Source organism: Homo sapiens, chromosome 5 (genome assembly GCF_000001405.40).
Source record: "Homo sapiens chromosome 5, GRCh38.p14 Primary Assembly".
NCBI classification, from domain to species: domain Eukaryota; kingdom Metazoa; phylum Chordata; class Mammalia; order Primates; family Hominidae; genus Homo; species Homo sapiens.
This window is the reverse complement of record NC_000005.10, coordinates 61,698,838-61,718,838: the sequence shown is the minus strand read 5'-3', so window position 1 is coordinate 61,718,838 and position 20,001 is coordinate 61,698,838. Positions and strand designations below refer to the sequence as shown.

General features: G+C 43.0%; 1 long non-coding RNA gene across 4 annotated transcripts in view; it reads right to left on the bottom strand.

The window, feature by feature from the left end:
• LINC03122 (long intergenic non-protein coding RNA 3122) overlaps window positions 1-20,001 on the bottom strand; it is a 93,238-nt gene that overhangs the window by 12,159 nt on the left and 61,078 nt on the right. For 2 of the 4 annotated variants that reach the window (NR_161251.1, NR_126523.1), the window contains one exon: window positions 12,304-14,973. The exons of 1 other annotated variant lie outside the window; for it this stretch is intronic. This is a non-coding gene — a long non-coding RNA (long intergenic non-protein coding RNA 3122). Of the gene's footprint in view, window positions 1-12,303; window positions 14,974-20,001 lie in introns of those variants that run through there. One more of the 4 variants, NR_126524.1, reaches the window with a different exon arrangement.

The window sequence follows — 20,001 nt, the reverse complement described above, 5'->3', positions numbered from 1 at the left end:
ATTTCATTTAAAAGAACAAAGATTCTGAAAGGTTAAGCAACTTGCTTAAGATCACACAGTCAATAAGGGTCAGAGATTGGGACCTGCGGTTATCTGTTTCCAAATCTGTGCTCTCTCTACGCATTCATGCTGCTATTAATTAGTATCAAGAGCCACATAAGAAAGTGACATTTCAGTTTTCCATCTCCTCCAGTCCAGGAAGGACTCTTCAATTTCAGACTTGATGAAGACAATAAACAGCTCTCTTGAGTCTGATCACAGTCACATGATAGAATGAAAGCTGTATACATTACTGTTAATTCACTTTGATTACATATTAAAGTACTATTAATAGCAGTAATGGTCATAATAACAGATAACGTTAATTGAGTGCTAACTGTGCTCCAGACCTGGGCTAAGCACTTTATATTTATTTACTGTCTCCATTTTTAACAAGCACCATATATGATAAGTACTATTATTATCCATATCACAGAGAAGTAGCTTGTAGAAGTTAAATGGCTTACCCAAGATCACACAACTAATAAGTGACAAAGTTGGGATTTGCACTCAGGGAAGTCTTGACTCTAAAACAGTTATTTTAAGATCAGTTTTATTAAGGTATAATTTACATATAAAAAATGCACCTATTATAAATATAGAGTTTGATGAGCTTCAACTCCAGGAAAAAATAAAACTAAAAACCTTGGCCTTGGCATGTAAAGCCTTCTCTCGGGCTTCATTTTCTTGAGAAATCCAGGCTAAGACAGTTGGTATCAGATGGCTAGTGGGCATTAGAAGTGGTTCTAGAAATCAGATGCTCAGGGTCAAATGCTCAAGATGGACCATTCACCAGTATGACAGGAAGAAGGAGCCCATTTCTGGTCATAAGTGGGATGGCACAAAGAAGCATTGCACCGGAGAGTACTGGAAGGAGAAGCAGGTGGAAGGTGGCACCTATGCCAATTAAGCAGTGTGGCACAGTGATAATTACAGGAATCGGGACTTGGCTGGCTTTTGTTAATGGCTTTATAAGCTATTCTGTTTATCTACTGCTCTGTAACAAATTACCCCAAAACTTAGGGCTCAAAACAATGTATTATTTTCTCTTATGATATGGTAAGCTAACTTAGTTGAGTTGGTTGGTTCTCACTCACGGTATCCAATGTGGTTCTAGACACATGGTAGCTGGGTCTGGAGACAACATAAGGTTTCTCTGGGCTTGAAGTTCAAGATGGCTCACTCACATGGCCAGCACTGATGCTGGCTGTCAGCTGCAAACTCATCTGGGGCTCTCACAGCATAGAGGGCTCAGGGTAGTCACACTTCGAACATGGTGGCTGGTTTCCCCCAAGCAGGCATTCTAAGAGGCAGGAAGTAGAAGAACTAGGGTGGCTATACTCAGAATTGGCACTATATAATTTCTACTTTGTTCTTTTCATCAAAGCAGTCACAGGGCTCGGCAGATTTAGGGGAGTGGAAGAGCAAGATTTTATCTCATAATGGGAGAGAGATAAGTACATGTTCCATGTGGGATGAAAGATATTGTTGCACTCATCTTTGGAAAATATGATTTGTCACAAACAGGCTTATGACAACTAACCACCAGATTATCAAACCTGCTTGGCAATGTCCTAACATATCCTTAAATTCTGCAGTTGCAGGATGGACTCTGCTGAAAATCAAGACTAGAATTCACTGTTAAGTCATGCAGGATTACAAAGACAATGGAATGCACGGCCTCAACAGATGTTCTTTGCAAAGTCAAAACTCCTAATATGAAAGGAATAGGATCCTGAGACCTGGAATAAGAATATTTGAGTAAACAAGCCTGCAAATAGTAAATCTCCAGCTTTATGAACACTCTGGACTCAAAGGAAAAAATCATCTCCCTGTTTCTAAACAGCCTGCTCTTATGCAGAAATGCAGCAAAGGCCTCAGCTGAAGCAAGTGCTTTGCAGGACAATGCTTGTCCTCAAATTCTGACCTTGCCCTCTTCTCATAACCAATAGCTGGAGTCATGTCTCAGCACAGCCTGATCCAGGAAATACAATGCCTGTTCCTTCTATACCAAAAGCCTTGCAAGACCTAGCAAACAGGCACTGGCAGAATCCAGGAAAACACAAGTGGGAATACATCTTGAGAGAGTTGGACGAGGAAATCCTGAATATAAAGATGGATAGGAAGAATTAATTGATATGCAAGTCTTCTTCCATGACTCAATTTAATATCCTGGCAAAAACATTTGAATCCAGTCCTAACACATTGGTAGGGTGACTCTTTGAAGCTTGAACACAATAGGCAATAGTGAATAAGGTAGAGTTGCTAGAATAAATTTGGTGGAGTATCAAGGAAGGGTCAGAAGGAGATAGAAATGTTAAAATGGATTTATTAGTGAGATCAGAGAATTCTGCATCTGTCTGTATTCCCCAGGAAGTCCCAGAGGGTGTTCCTTTGACTAAAGCAATAAGAAATGCACTGATGAGAAAGCACTGGCTTCTTTTGAGAAGTGCCAATGGTGTCTGTCTCTCATAAACTGCGGTTGATAGTATGAGATGCTGCTACAACACTGGACTTCTTAGCATCAATCAGGATAACAGGATTCTGGAATGTGAGGGGCCAGGCAGCAATTCTTAAGTGACAGTAGCAAAGTATAGGTACATATGATTACTATAATGGACAATCAGATTGGAAGATGCCTCAGCTGTCAGGCACCTGTGGCAGTGGCTAAGAGACCAAGGTATTCCCACTGATGAGACAGATGAATGGCTAACTAGAGTGGTACTTGACTTGTAGAATTAGAAAAAAAAAAGGAAAGCTGCCACAAGCACACTTCAAATTGGATCAAATGGACCCATGAACTCAACCTGTGGTTATTTCCCCATTGTCCAAGAGAATAATTTGGATGGATAAGCAAAGTAGCGGCAGAATCTTCCCACAGGTTCCCTAGCCTACTGAGTAAAAGCCATTAGGGTAGGAAGGGACAAGTGGAAGTCTCTGAAACTATCCAGCACAACCCCACCAGTCAGGAGACTGTACCCAAGTTAGCACTATTCCAAAAGAAAATTAGTGCCACCAGCAAAGAGAATTGGTATCATCATTTCTGCTGGATGATGTTCTCCAGCATCTCTCTATATAATTCACCTGTATGGTGCTTGGAAAAATAAACTGACAGATCATGGTGGATGACAGTGGACTACCATAAACTTAATCAAGTGGTAGCTCCAATCTCAGCTGCTGAGCCAGATGGGATATCTTTACTAAACAGACCAACACAGCCTCTGGCACTCAGTATGTTGCCATTGATCTGGTGAATATGTTCTTTTCAATCCTCATCAATAAACGGGATCAAAAGCAGGTCTCTTCTAAGTAAGAAGGACATCAGTACACATTGACAGTCTTGCCTAAGGCTATGTGAAGCCTCTTGGGCAATGTCACAAAATAGTCTGCAGGGATATTAATTGTCTTAATATTCCATAGGCATATAGACTATACTGGCACACTATCTTGATGGCATTATGCAGATTTAACCTGCTAAACAGAAGTAGCAACTTGAGTGTCAGGGGGTGAGAATAAAACCTCACAAAGATTCCCCAACCTGCCCATCAGTGACATTTTTAGGAGTCCAATAATCTGAGGCATGCTGGCACAAAGTCTTTGAGGTAAAGCACAAGACGTTAGCTCTTGTACCTTATTCTGGCTTTCTATTGCAACATAACAAACCACCCCAAAACTTACTGATGTAAAGCGCCACAATACGGCTAAACCCATGGATTCTGTGGGTCAGGAATCTGGACAGAGAACAGCAGGAATGTCTTGTCTCTACTTTTAGATTCCTGCCAGCTTTGCTAAACTCGGCATCCATAATCGAATTCAGCTGTAATCCCTTAAAGCATCCAATTATATGAAATGAACTAATTTCTCTCCTAGGTATCCAGAATGATATAGTGATGTGCCATACTTGGTAGAACTGAGAAAATAGTCATTCAAACCATTTTCTGTCCTCTGTAGCTCAGATAAAAAAACTCTAGTTGAGAAAGGCTGGCTAGAAACTAAGTTGGGAAAACTCAAATGGCTGGGGGGTGACACAAACTGGGCTGAAATCTTCTGCAGTCATCTTCGTTTACATTTCTAATGCCTAAGCTGTGTCACTTGAAGACTGGGCTCAGTGAGGACCATCGAATGGAACACCAACATATACCCTCTCCATGTGGTTTAGACTCTTCACAATACAGCAGTTTGCAAGTAGTTGGAAGAGGAAGGATCCTACTGAACAAGAAAGAAGTGACCTGGTCTTTTATGATCTAGCCTCAGGAGTCATATAGTATAGTACTGCACTATATGTATTGTGTGTGTGTGAGTATGTATATTATATACATATATATTTTATATATACACACACATAAGTATATACTATAGTATACTAAAGTTATGTAGTATAGTACTATACTATATAGTGTAGTAGCTTTCACCATACTCTATTAGTTGAACCAGTAAAAAGCCTAGCCAGATTCCAGGGGATAGGACATAGACCCCATCTCTTGATAGAAAGAGTGTCAAATAATTTTGAGGTGTTTTAAAGCCACTTAAAAATATTCAGAAGTCAGAGATAGCAAATACTTCTCTTGGGAATATTGCTCTAACTTATTTTTTGGGTAACTTGCAAGGCTGCCAGTTTTGAATGTCAGAGTAAGATCTGCAGCAGATCCTGGCTGTGATACAAGTGGCTCTGACACTCATGCTAGATGGCCAGCAGACTTAATGGTGCTACTTATTGCAAATAAAGACATTATGTGTATGGAGTCTCTGACAAGTTCAGTAAGGAGAGTTGCAGCACAGATCCTGTGGTTCTGGAACTAGGCCTTCTTTCTCCAACAGAAAAGTACATACCATTTGAAAATTAGCTCCATCCTGAGCTCTGACAGAGATGAATCTTCTGCACATGGGACATCAAGTGACCATGCATCCAGAGCAACCCCTGTTGAGCTGAGTATTTTCAGATCCACAGTGTTGGTCACAATGTCGGGCAGGCACAGCAGCAATCCATCATACAATGAAATGGGCCAGAAGAGATCCAGAGGGCGTAAGTCAATTCCATCTGCCCTAGATTTCTGTGTTATCTACCTCTCTTGTTCAGTTCACATCTAAAGTCTTTTTTTTTTAGACAAAGTCTCTGTCCGTCACCCAGGCTGGATTGCAGTGGTGCGATCTCGGCTCACTGTAACCTCCACCTCAAGCGATTCTCGTGCCTCAACCTCACGAGTAGCTGGGATTACAGGCGTGGGCCACCGTGCCCGGCTAATTTTTGTTTTTTTAGTAGAGACAAGATTTTGCCTTATTGGCCAGGCTGGTCTCAAACTCCTGACCTCAGGTGATCTGCCCGCCTCAGCCTCCCAAAGTGCTGGGATTACAGGCGTGAGCCACCATGCCCGGCCTAAAGTCTTATAATTTCCTATAACCAACCAATGAGGACAAAAACTTGAACTTAGTTCATAGATGGGCTGCCTTAATAGGCTGGTGGTAGTGAAAAATGTGACTACCACCAGGCTAGAGTCCTATGGAGGGGTGGCCCTGAGGACAGTGAAAGTTACCCCTCCCAGTAAGCAGAGCTGAGAACAATGCACTTGCTCATTCTCTTTGTAGGGCAGGAGAAGTGGTCTGAGTTAAGGTTATATCTGGACCCACTGGCAGTGGCGAATGGCTTGCTGGTTGAGTCAGAAGCCTCAAAGAAGATGGACTTATAGCACTGGACACATAGCATGTAGATTTCTGTCTCACATCAAGGCCCACCAGAGAACCTCCTCTGCAAGTGAGGCACTGAATAACGAGATGACAGGATGTACTAAGGATACCAGCCAGCCTCTCTCCCTAGCCACTGCATGACAGAGGGAACATGGGACAGGGACAGAGGCTCTGCATGGCCCCAATGGCATTAGTGCCATCTCACCAAGACCAGTCTAGCAACTGCTGTCCTGAATATGTGATTTTCACCAGAGAGATTGATGTGAAACACTCCATGTTGTACATGTCTTGAAGAAGACCAGCCAGTCACTTGGTGATAGGCTTTTTACATCAGATGCCTTCTACACTGGAAGGATCAGTGATTCATTCTTTCCAGAATAGACACTTATCTGGACATGGGGTTGCCTTCCTTGCCCCAATGCCTCTGCTAGCACCACCAACAACTTACATTCCGACATGTTTCCACAGAATGTTTGAGGAGTAAGCATTCCAGGGGAAACCCTTGACCAATAGATGCCAGAAGCCAGGAAATGTTCCTCTCTTCTGTCCTTTGGGAGGACAGTCCTAAGATATAATCTCTATAGTTTCTAAGAGAGCCAAGCAGGATGGAGGCCCACTTACCACAATAGGGACCAGTTTAATGGAGTGCCTTCCCTCCTCTTTGATATCTGTCAGTCTCCCATTCCTGGTGCGTCTATTTCCCAAAACAAACCACCTGCATTCATGCACTTTTACCAGGCTCTGCTTTCTGGAAAACTAAGGCTAAGACACTATCTCTCTTGTGCTTATTCATAAAGCATGCTTTTTCTGTAAAGTGAGAAGTCTGTGTGTTATAGTTCAAGAAATTACTCACATTGGGTGTGTGTGTGTGTGTGTGTGTGTGCGCGCGTGTGTATTTAGTTAACAAGTACCTTCCAGCCTAGGTACTGTGGAGGCTTTGAAAGGATTCTGCTCATGGCTGTGGCACCCATCCCACTGGTCTTCAGGTAGGTTGCGCAGGTGCTGCCCTGTCCAACCGGGCTTGGCTGAAGAGTAAGTGAGGGCTTCATTCACCAAGCAGAGCACTCTGGCACAAGCTGCATCTACACAGAGGAAGGGTGTCTGTTCCTAATTTATAAGAGGAACTGTCAGCTCACTAAGCCCTGTGCCCTAGAGGCACTTCCGCCCAAGGAGGGCATATTTTCTTTTCTTTTTTAATTATTTTAAGTTCTGGGATACATGTACAGCATATGCAGGATTGTTATGTAGGTAAAAGTGTGCCATGGTGGTTTGTTACACCCATCAACCCATCACCTAGGTATTAAGCCAGCATGCATTAGCTATTTATCCTGATGGTCTCCCTCCCCCTGCCCCCACCCCACAGGCTCCAGTATGTGTTGTTCCCCTCCCTGTGTCTATATGTTCACATTGTTCAGCTCCCACTTATAAATGAGAACCTACAGAGTTTGGTTTTCTGTTCCTGTGTTAGTTTGCTGAGGATAATGGCTTCAGCTCAATCCATGTCCCTGCAGAAGACATAATCTCATTCCTTTTTATGGCTGCATAGTATTCCATGGTGTATATGTACTACATTTTCTTTATCCAGTCTATCATTGGTGGGCATTTGGGTTGATTCCATGCCTTTGCTATTGGGAATAGTGCCACAATCAACATATGCATGCATGTATCTTTATAATAGAATGATTTATATTCCTTTGAGGATGAGTTCGTGTCCTTTGTAGCGACATGGTTGAAGCTGGAAACCATCATTCTGAGCAAACTATCACAAGGACAGAAAACCAAACACCGCATGTTCTCACTCATAGGTGGGAATTGAACAATGAGAACACTTGGACACAGGGCAGGGAACATCACACACTGGGGCCTGTCATGCGGTGGGGGGATGGAGGAGGGATAGCATTAGGAGAAATACCTAATGTAAATGACAAGTTAATGGGTGCAGCAAACCAACATGGCACATGTATACATAGGTAACAAACCTGCACGTTGTGCACATGTACCCTAGAACTTAAAGTATAATAATAATTAAAAAAGAATGATTTATATTCCTTTGAGTATATACCCAGTAATGGGATTGCTAGGTCAGATGGTATTTCTAGTTCCAGGTCTTCGAGAAATCGCCACACTGTCTTCCAGGATGGTTGAACTAATTTACATTCCCACCAACAATGTAAAGGTCTTCTTATTTCTCCACAGCCTCACCAGCATCTGTTGTTTCTTGACTTATTAATAATCTCCATCCTGACTGGCATGAGATGGTATCTCACTATGGTTTTGGTTTGCATTTCTCTAATGATTAGTGATGTTGAGCTTTTTTTCATATGTTTGTTGGCCACATAATGTCTTCCTTTGAGAAGTGTCTGTTCGTGTCCTTTGCTCACTTTTTAATGGGGCTGTTTGTTGTTTTTTTTTGTAAATTTGCTTAAGTTCCTTGTAGATTCTGAATATTAGAACTTTGTCAAGTGGGTAGACTGCAAAAATTTTCACCCATTCTGCAAGTTGTCTGTTCACTCTCATGATAGTCTCTTTTGCTGTACAGAAGCTCTTTAGTTTAATTAGATCCCATTTGTCAATTTTTGCTTTTGTTGCAATTGTTTTTGGTGTTTTTTTCATGAAACCTTTGCTCATGCCTATATCCTGAATGGTGTTGCCTAGATTTTCTTCTAGGGTTCTTACAGTTTTGGGTTTTACATTTAAGTTATAATTCACCTTGAGTTAATTTTTGAATAAGATGTAAGGAAGGGGTGCAGTTTCAATTTTCTGCATATGGCTAGCCATTTCTCCCAGCACCATTTATTAAATAGGGAATCCTTTCCCCATTGGTTGTTTTTGTCAGGTTTGTCAAAGATCAGATGGCTGTAGATGTGTAGTCTTATTTCTGAGTTCTCTATTCTGTTCCATTGGTTTATGTGTCTGCTTTTGTACCAGTACCATGCTGTTTTAGTTACTGTAGCCTTGTAGTATAGTTTGAAGTTGGGTAGCATGATGCCTCCAACTTTGTGCTTTTTGATTAGGATTGTCTTTGCTATTCAGGCTTTTTTTTTGTTGTTCCATATGAATTTTAAAACAGTTTTTTTCTGATTCTGTGAAGAATGTCAATGGTAGTTTAATGGGAATAGCATTGAATCTGTAAAATACTTTGGACAGTATGGCCATTTTCACAATATTGATTCTTCCTATCCATGAGCATGGAATGTTTTTCCATTTGTTTGTTTCCTCCCTGATTTCCTTGAGCAGTGGTTTGTAGTCCTCCTTGAAGAGGTCCTTCACTTCCCTTGTTAGCTCTATTCCTTGTAGTCCTCCTTGAAGAGGTCCTTCACTTCCCTTGTTAGCTCTATTCCTAGGTATTTTATTCTCTTTGTAGCAATTGTGAATGGGAGTTCACTCATGATTTGGCTCACTGCTTGTCTGTTGTTGGTGTATAGGAATGCTTGTGATTTTTGTGCATTGATTTTGTATCCTGAGACTTTGCCGGAGTTGCTTATCAGCTTAAGAAGCTTTTGGGCTGAGACAATAGGTTTTTCTAGATATAGAATCATGTCATTTGCAAACAGAGACAATTTGACTTTCTCTCTTCCTATTCGAATACCCTTTATTTCTTTCTCTTGCCTGATTGAGGGCACATTTTCTAATCACCAGAAAATCCTACTATGGGCAGCAAAGGCCCAGCATCCACCTACTCTCCTATCTCTGCTACTCACATCTTGATGCCCCTACACTCGGTTCAAAGCTAAGAGCATTTTCTGAATTAATTAAAAACTCAGAACATAGCTCAGGTCCAGAGCTAGGGAGAAAACCATATGTTTTTTTGGTTGAAAGAAACCTTACATATTATTTAAGGCTAGCCTATCCCTTTCATTTGACAGATAAGGAAACTGTCTACAGAGCCTCTTCTGTATTGCCTCCTACTCTCACCAGGCCAGATGCCAGGCTCCAGCCAGGGCACCACTCAGCAGTATGTGTGACCCAGCTCAGTTTCAGTGAAGAACTATTATAATTGACTAAATGATTCCTTTCCTAAAAGCAACTTTATGAAGATGAGTAAAATGAGAAAATGAAGCACCAACCAACATTTTGCAAACTTATATACTTTTCACTGGTGCATGATGTTTTTGGAAGAGTTTCTGTTTTCTATGAACACTAGGCAATCTCTTTTGACTTTGGTCACTAGGCACCTGTGAAATTGAGGACATCTTGTTGCATTCATATTATTTCAATGTACACTGAATACGAGGCCAGAAAAAAAGAAAGAAGAAGAGTGGAAGGAAAAGAGATTTGTTGAATGGCCACTTGATTGTTGTGTTTTCAACAAGTCATGGACATTACATTGAGGACTTTTGACTCACTGGTGACACAGCTTTCAGTGTGTTCTGTTGTCATTGGTAATTGATCATATTTCACTCTGAAATGAAAGATGAGACTGACAAAAAATCTTGTTATAAAGCCCCTGGCTAAGAGGAAGGCAAGAAAGAAATACAGGTAAGCTAGTTTTCAAGAAATGAAATAAAGAACACGAGAGATCATGCTGTGGCCCAGGCTTAAAGAATTCTTCAATTCCCATCTGAGTTCTGTCAGTTACCTTGATGTTTCATGTTGGTTTTTCCTCATTATTTTACCCAGGTGACTGCTCCTGACCCTACATAGGTTAGGGGATTAACTGATGATGGTGATGTGCTTGGCATTCTCCATGCAAGGAAGGAGGCTGCCCCATCCCCTATTTTGGCCCAGAGCAGATAGCTGAGCTGGAGTGTGCTTTAGTCATGACTCTCCATGGTGTATATTTTGGAAACTGAAGACCCACCTGCTGACCTGGGCCTTGAAAACCTCACAATTCCAGCCTCCGTTTTGTCTGATCCCAAGGAAGATGAGACAAAAAAGCCACTACACCCCTGCCCCCATCTGCTGCTGACCATTGCTGGGGATCTGCACTCTTCCTTCTGCCTGGAGCGAGTGGGAAGTGACCCTGGAGGAATACGGTTTGAAGCATTGATGAGATTTCTGCAGATCTTCATCTGGGCAGTGGGGAGCGTGTTCCAAAATGTGAGAGACTCATTTAGGCAGTTAGTGAGGGTGATCCCATTCTCTCTGCTCAAAGTAGCAGGGAGGGAATGGGAAAGGCCCTTTTATGCAATACTGGATAGTGGTTCAGAGCCCACATGAAGGAAGGAACCCCACTTCCTGGTCAGAGTCCAGGTCTGCTGTTTATCAACCCTATGATTTGAGGCAAGTACCTTAACATCTCTATGCCTCAGTTTCCTTATGTGGGAACTGGAGACTTAGGCTTGCTATGTGAAGCCCAGTTCAGAACACTTTACTCATATTTCTCCAATTAATCCTCACAACCATCCCAGTAGGTAGACACTATTATTATCCCCATTTACAGATGAGAAAACTGAGTCACAGAGCTGGGAAATGGCAGAGGCAGCATTCAAATCTAAGCAGCCTGGCTCCATTATCAATGTTCTTAGCTGCTCAGTAGACTGGGGAACAATGTCACTTTTTTCATAGGGTTGTTGTGAGAAATAAATGAGTTAATCATGTTGAGTGCCTACCACAAACAGTGCCTCCCCCACTGCTTGCTTTAAGCAAGTGTTCACCAGATGCATGCTACCTCTTGTTAAGCTATCATGTGGGGCTGGTGACAAAGACACTGAAGTGAGAGAGAGCATAGGAATAAAGATGGGACAGCAGGAAGCAGTGAGGTACATCTGAGATGACTTTGGTCTTCTTTTCCCTGGCAGTCCCCTCTTCTCTTCAAGCAGCAAGGATGATATTATTGGGGTCCAAAGGTACACAATTTTATCTCTGCATAAAATTTCATAAAGAAATTTTGTTCTCAGTTTGCATTCGGTGATCTGTGATCCCATTCCCACACGTTTGAAGCTCTGAGCACAGGCAAAAAAATCAAATTACTCAGGCCATCCTGCCCCAACAGGCTCTTCCTTTCTGTTTCAGCTTCCTAAGAAACACCCTTTTCTCTCAGGGACTGACCTGTGTTCTGCTCACTGTGTTTGCTGCACAGCCCCAATGGCCAGACGCATTTTTTGCCCTGCTTTGCCCCTTGCTATGCACCAGGAGGCTGACTCTAGGAATCTCCTGCCAGCTGGCTTCCCATAGGGCTTGGTCAGCAGAAGGCACCAGCAGGAAATACAGGAGGAAAGAGGTCAGGGCACTTCTTCCTGTCTTCACTGGTGTCTAACAAAGCCTGTGATGCTTTGCTGTTGTAGCTCCCATGGAATGAGGGGAGTTCATTCACAACTCCTGTCCCCAGGGCTCTGGTAACTTGGTAACTCTATTTCCTCCTTTTGTCCTTTTGGCCCTAGGAGTGATCGTGGCTTCCCAGTGTTGCTGGTGTCTGGTGCCTTGTCACCCTTGTTTGCTCCTTATCCCTTTGCACAGCACTGTAAGACACACCTGATCCACACTCAATTTGTGCCATCTAGTTGAACTCAGGGCCTTGCCACGACCATGGCTGACACATCTACATGCCCAAGATCACTCTACCCGTGAGGCCCAGAGGTGGAGCCATATATTTTCCATTAACTTTCATTGTAAAAGTTAATCTCGCTGAAAATGTCAGATAGTACATTTTTAATATTTATTGACACTAAGATTAGAATTGATAGGTGAGCATGAAAAAGAAAACAAGTATCATACATATTCACCGCACACAAAGATAACCACTATTTTACTGTGTGCATTTTTTCCTATTACAAAAAAATGCATATACTATTGTTTATTGGCTGAAATATTGTGAACAATTTCCTTCATCAATAAATATACTTCAACATCAATACATTTCTTTCTAATACCTCATCAAAATTCTTAATGACTACAGAGTCATATCTAAGCTTGTACCATAGTTTAATGAGTCCCCTATTAGCAAGCATTCGAGTAGGTTCCAATTTTTCCTTGTTATAAACAGTGCTGCAATAAACATCCTTGTACGATATAAAATACTTGAAAATACAACACAATCAACTTAGTCTTCCTAAACCAAAAGCCACACATATACAGCAGCAGCAGCAGGGTCACTCCCTCTCAAGAGATAATAATATCTGCCTCCCCTGCCTCCCACTGATGTTGTGAGGTTCAACTGAGAAAATGTATATGTAAGTTCTTCATAAACTGTAAAGTGTATGGGGTGGTTATTATAGTATGAGCTTATTCTTTCGTAATAACCTTGTAAGACAGCACCATGGATATATCCTCAAGGCACATTGTACTGACAATTTTGCCAGACATAAAGAATTGAAAGCTTACTTTTAGGCTTTTATATATTTATTTCTCTTTAACACAACAAAGAGTTGTGTGTTAGAAAAGCAGCCTTCCTGTACAAGAGTAAACTACCAGCTGGCAGTGCATTCTATCTGTTCTGGTGCATGTCAACTCATTACATCCCCTCGAGAGGACCACTGCAAACAATTGAAGGAATTTGAGTTGCCTAAAAGGTCCCCATGGCTCTGAAAGTCCCTCCTGTAATACTGGTTACCCCAACTCCTAAAGCAGATTAGTCATAATGACTACTTTCCATTCCTTTCCTAATAGTCTCTTCTAAAAAGCACTTTAGGTAACTCTGCTTGATGAAAAAAAAATTGAGCAGCAGTTCCGTTTTTTTTAATGGGAACTTTTATGTCAAGTATAGAAGCTGCACTGACATCTCACATGAAAACCATCCCATCACTCAGCAAGAGGCACTCCATTTTGGATGGATTCTTGATTTACTTTCTGTGAATCTAAGTTCATGGATTTTCTGCTCTTGCTAACGCAATACTATTAAAATGTCAGAACACAGTTTCCTGGAGCAAGAGTCTTATATAGTTTTCAACTCTTAATGAGAGGCATCAGCCAAGTTTTTAAAATCTTGACTTGAATCATGCTTAATGCTATTTGTTAACTAGTGTGAAAAGGTTTCTATGTGTTAAAGTGGTAATGTTCTACCAAGGTAAATGATGTTCTGGGGCATGATATTCTATCTGGTTGCTTGCTTTCTATCCCTATTCGACTTTTTTACAAAAATTCAATGGAGGGGACATAGTCCTACTTTATAATGTTAAGAAGCGTTTTTACTTTAAGTTCGCTCAAATTAAGAAAAGACACAGGGCCGGGTGCTGTGGCTTATGCCTGTAATCCCAGCACTTTGGGAGGCTGAAGCGGGTGGATCATGAGGTCAGGAGATCGAGACCATCCTGGCTAACACAGTGAAACCCCGTCTCTACTAAAAATACAAAAATTAGCTGGGCGTGCTGGCAGGCACCTGTAAACCCAGCTACTCAGGAGGCTGAGGCAGGAGAATCACTTGAACCCGGGAGGCAAAGGCTGCAGTGAGCCGAGATAATGCCACTGCACTCCAGCCTGGGCAACAGAGCGAGACTCCGTTTCAAAAAAAAAAAAAAAAGGAAAGAAAAGAAAGAAAAGATACAAAGCCTCCTCTTGAACTGTTTTCTCAACTACTTGATCATCTGTGATCTGTGTCTCTTCTGGGAAGGACGGACAGGCAAAGCAGGGTCCAGTGTTCATGTGCTGAACGTAACTTGCCCTAACAGCACAAGAAGCCCAAGGGCTTGTTTTCTGTGTGAGTCAAGGAAACACCTGCTACCTCCTGAGACAAGCCCAATCCACGGGTATTGGCAAGGAAAGGTATGCAGGCCTTGCACAGAGATACTGAAATTGCTTTTGTTTCCTTCCTTCCTAATTTTGTCTCTGTAGATGTCTCACTGTTTCCATGGGTTTATTCATTTCTATCACCACCACTACCCCCACTTTTTTTTACAGTTGTGTATTCAAGCAGAGAAAATGAGTTTAAAAAAACAATTATGATAGTGAAAAAAAGAACAGATTCAAAACTGCCATATATGTGAGGCCCATGGGAGTCCCTGATTAATTTTCATTTTTATCATTTAGTTCTGAGATTGGCCTATTTTGGTAAATGTGAGAGCAAGTGTGGTTATGGACTTGATTACCTTGCAACCTTAAAAACAAATAAACCAGCTTGAGTCTTTTTCTTACCATGGTGGGTTCCTGTTAGGCAAGAACTGCAACTCCATGAGCAAGTTGTCCCAACACCACAGGGGCAGACCTTCATCACATAGCAACTCCCAAAATGGGAATTGGAGTGGATTTTAGAACACAGTCAGCTAACATTGAGAACATCATGGTTGTAGGCAAAACTTTCCGTTCCTCTATTTGTCTCTCTGCTCCGTTCTTGGGTCCATATTCTCCTACACATTTTGGATGCTTGAAATACTGATTCTGAAAGAATAATCAATTAGCAAATAGTTACAAGGAGTAGGACACTCAAGGAGTCTAGTTGAAAACAAAGGACCAGCATGATAATTGTACAAAAAGTACTTGTAGAAATTCAAAAGTGGAAAAAACGCTATATATTGGGAAAGATTAGGAAAAGTTACACATAGAACAGCAAGGTGAGCTGAGCCTTAAGTAGGTAGGAAGGTTGGATGAGACTCAGCAGGGTAGACGGGAGAAGCCATGGCATTTGTGGAGTACAAGTTGACAGAGGCAAGGAGGTAGGTTTGGTCAGGTGTGTTAAGGAGACAGTGAGTCTGGTCAGAAAGGAGTTTTCAAGGAGTGGAAATGGCGCCTAAGGGCAGCATATTGTTAGGAACCAGTTTATTGAAAGAAAGCCTCCAAGTGCAGTGGCTCCCACCTGTAATCCCAGCAATTTGGGAGGCCAAGGTGGGCAAATCACTTGAGCTCAAGAGTTTGAGACCAGCCTGGGCAACACAGCAAAACCTCATCTCTACAAAAAGTACAAAAATTAGCCACACGTAGTGACATGCACCTGTAGTTACTTAGGGGGTTGAGGCAGGAGGATCGTTTGCACCCAGGAGGTTGAAGTTGCAGTGAGCCATGATTGTGCCACTGCACTCCAGCTTGGGTGACAAAATGAAAAACAGAAAGAAAGAAGGAAGGAAAGAAAGAAAGAGAGAGAGAGAAAGAAAGAGAGAGAGAGAGAAAAAAGAAAGCCTAGGGGATTTGGATTTCATCCTATAGGCAATAGAAAGTCACGGACATTTTTGGGCAGGAGACAGGCATGGAGGAAGAGAGCTCTAAAGATGACTAATCTGATGCTAATCACCAAAACCAGTGTCAGGAGGCTCCCACACAGTCCAGCTGTGAGGCCATGAAGCCTGAGAGACTGGGATCTGCCCACTGCCAAGAATTCTGGAGGCTGCCCAGGGTCCCCTTGGGAAACACCTTGCAGAGAAAGCCTTTCCCTTTCTCTAAAAATCTCCAAATTCTAATCCCCTACTTTGCCCTTGACAGTCTGGTCGACTATGCTGTACTAAGATGTTAAGAGCAGATTATAACTTAAAGTAGGTACAAGAGAACACAAAATTGCACAGGGAGGAGAAATATTAAGAAGCAGGCTCACTATGAGAAATAACTTTTCATAGAAGCCTTCAGAACATATCTAGTAACATCTAGTTTTCAATAGCAAGAAACAAAAAAACAATTCGAGTGTTCTGGGATGGGGGAAGTTTCACAAGATGCCATTTACTTCAAATTTTTCTTCAAGTGGTGTCATTGGGTTGTGGTTGGTGGCTATGACACCAAGAGAAAGCAAGTTAACTTGGATTAAGTCTCTTTTCTGCTTTCCAAATTACATAGATTTCTCAGGGTCTTTGCCTTCCCCACATCTGGACTCCAGGAATGAATCATTTAAGGAGGCACCCCCGGACAGGAGTTTCTGTTCTCTACAGTTGTTCTAATGTGCACTCTGTACTTCGACTGCCTGTCAGACAAATCAGGGAAGAAAGCAGGAGTCTCTAAAGCAGTCATGCAAATTTCCCCAGGCTTACAGTCTCAAAGAAATTGGGCCTGGCCAAAATGACCTCAGGCATCCACTGAGGAGAAGAACTTGCTTCTAAGAACTTCTCTCCAGCCTTCCATGTTTCCTTCCATGACAGGCATCTGTGGGGTGACAATTAGGTGTGGTGGGTGGGCATTTCTGTGGGCTGGCAGCCTATTTTAACTTCCAACTGTGGGAGTAAGCTTTAACTCTGTGCTAAAATTAGGGGAATCCAGTAACTCCTGTGGTTATTTCAATCAGTTCCCACTTATTGAGTAGCAGCGGCACAGTTAAGTAATAACATGGTAACCTTGCCAAGACATAAATGAAATGCTGAGTGTTGCCCAGTTGGAGCTGAAATCGCTTCAATGATCTAAGCTGAGAGCCAAACCAACAAAAGGGCTGCTGGCCTCTGGGGGTGGGGGAAACTGGGGACATGGAACAGAATTCCCAGAGCAGCTCCTCGGATGCTGGGGGCAGATTTAAGGGAGTGGGCACTGATTGGCCTGGCAATCCAAACTTCACTACAGAAATGCCAACAGCCCCAGGGGTCAGAAAGGCTCAGTTTGCTCTCCCTCCAAGAGAAGGCACGTGGGCTCTGCCAGAGGAGCCCACTGCCAGACCCAGGGCTCCTGGAAAGACCTTGGCCCCTGGTGCTTGAGTTCACACCGTGGCAATGAATGTAATCATGATCCAGAGAAGCAGCTCCTAAGCCACACTATGGAGAACATTGTTCTGATTGGCTCTGCTATGAGAGGATGGTTTTCTCTAGCTGAGAGAGACAGAGGTGCCATGCCAGCTCCCAGTTCAGACCGGCAGGTGCGGTCAAGAGAAGATCAAAAGAAGGAGAAGGGCAGAATCTTGAAGAAAGGTTCTAGCCAGGATGCTTAGGGTACCAAAGGGCCAACAAGCCCTAAGTCATCCCCCTTGGGTTGGGGTTAGAGCTGGGGGAGGGACCTGCAGTGACGGAGGTCATTGATAACTGTAGATTGAGCATGCAAGTTTTCAGTTCATGCAGGACTCTTTAGCTCCCCTTCCCCACTCTTCTGAAAGTCTTAGCCATTTTACTCTGATGGTTAAGTGGACCTGAGTTCAAGTCCAGTGTGCACTCCAGGAGTCAGGGCCTACACAAGGCCAGGAATGCCAGGAGACAGGATTGTTGGTGACCATCTCAGAAGTCTGCCTGCCACACATTATGATCATTTAGCCCAGGGGTAGCCAATCTTTTGGCTCCCCCTGGGCCACATTGGAAGAAGAATTCTCTTGGGCCACACATAAAATACACTAACACCAATGAAAGCTGATAAGCTAATAAAAAAAATGACGGAAAAATCTCATTATGTTTTAAGAAAGTTTATGAATTTGTGTTGGGCCGCATTCAAAGCTGTCCTGGGCTGCCTGCGGGCTGTGGGCCATGGCTTGGCCAAGCTTGATTCAGCCTGAGAACCGAGTGAGCATCAGAGGAGAAGGAAAAAGGAAACCTGTCCACAGCACTACCTGTTTTACAGTGGCTGTCAACTCTGGCTGCACTTTAGAATTACTTAAGAGCTTTTTAAAAATACCTATATCTGGGCCCCACACCACATATTCTAATTTAACTAGTCTCAAGTGGGTGCTAGGCTCCCTCCCCATGTGATTCCAATGAGCAGCAGGCCAGGCAAATACTGATTTCATCTTTCTAGCAAAGGTTAGGTAAGGAAGGGGATTTAAGCTTTGACTAACACAAAGGATGAACATAAACTCTGAGGGGTTTCCAGGTGGAAAGGCATGTTAAAAGTCACCAGACAGATCCTGCTCCTCTTGACCTGAGAACACCATCCCTGACACCATCACCTCCACACCATCCCCGACAAGGAGAGACACCTTGACCTCTGCACCCCCTTCTCCCCCACGCACACTCGTGGCCAGGCAGTTCACAGTGGGACACAGCTGACTGCTCAAAGGTTACCTTATGTTGAGCTGATTTCAATGATCTCTTCTATTCTTATTCCCATCCTTTGAGTTTTAGTAGAAAGACATAAAGAAAATTCCACATGATGTTGTTTAAAAAAAAAAATCTGAGCACCAGCTGTGTTACTGGATTGAAGGTTTGGCCCTGTTGTACTTTCAAATAACGATGATGCCTGCCCAAGTCAGAGGGACAGGTCTCAGCAGCTGTGAAGCTCATCTCCTCTCTCTGCCCCTGGAAACTCACCTGCCTGGTGTCCTAACTTGTCTACACTACAGCATCTCTCATCTTTTAACAGTACCAGGGGGTTAAGAGCTTAACGGGTTTCCTTGACTTTTGTTTTAACAATTACCTTCACTGCCTTACACTAAACTTGAGGCTATATAAAAAAGTCGCTTTTATATCATTAATTAAGTAATGTTTTCATTTTACAAATTTTTTTTTTTTTTTGAGATGGAGTCTTGCTCTGTTGCCCAGGCTGGAATGCAGTGGCGTGATCTCGGCTCACTGCAAACTCTGCCTCCCAGGTTCACACCATTCTCCTGCCTCAGCCTCCCGAGTAGCTGGGACTAGAGGCGCCCGCCACCACGCCCAGCTAACTTTTTATATTTTTAGTAGAGACGGGGTTTCACCGTGTTAGCCAGGATGGTCTCGATCTCCTGACCTCGTGATCTGCCCACCTCGGCCTCCCAAACTGCTGGGATTACAGGCGTGAGCCACCGCACCTGGCCTTACAAATATTGTTTTAAAGCCTATTCTGTTTGCAGAAGTGCTAGTTTACAGAGAAGTTAATGGTGAAGTAAAGGCAGACCCAGTTCCCCCTCATGGGAGCGTTAACTATATAATCACACAAACACATGTTAGGCCACACCTGGGATCTGGGGTGTACATCAGAGGTGCCTGGTGATTTGAGGGCACATTAACCTTGCCTGAGTGTCAGGGAGGGCTTCCCTTGAAGATCTGAGGCTTTAGCGGAGATGGGGAGGGTGAGGAGGAGTTAACTCTGGGGAGGGTGGGGACCAGAGCATCCAGACAGAGGAAGTCTTGCAGGCAGAGGCCCTGGACTGGGAGGGAACACGAGTAGGAGAAATTGAAAGGAGAGTTGTGTGACTGAGACCCAGAGCAAGGGAAAGTGGGCTGACAAAGGGGCAGGAGCCATCTTAAAGTGCATTATGACCCTAAGAACAATGGGAAGACATCAAAAAGTCTTTACTAGGCAGGGGAAAATGTTTAAATGTTAGCAGTAAACTTCACATAAGATAATTCCTCACTGGCCAATTCATACCATTATTCTGCATTTAGGTTTTAAAACATGGAAAGTTCCTTTTAAAAGCCAAAACATCCTTTTTAAATATCCAAAGGCCTCTATCATTTATTCATTCATTCTACAACTATTCTTGAGCACCCACTATGCACTGGGCCCTGCCTCTCGGTCACCGCCAATATCGAGCTTACATGCGGGTGAGAGAGACAGACAAGGAACAACAGCCGCATGGCCAGGGGTCTCTCCAGGGCTCTT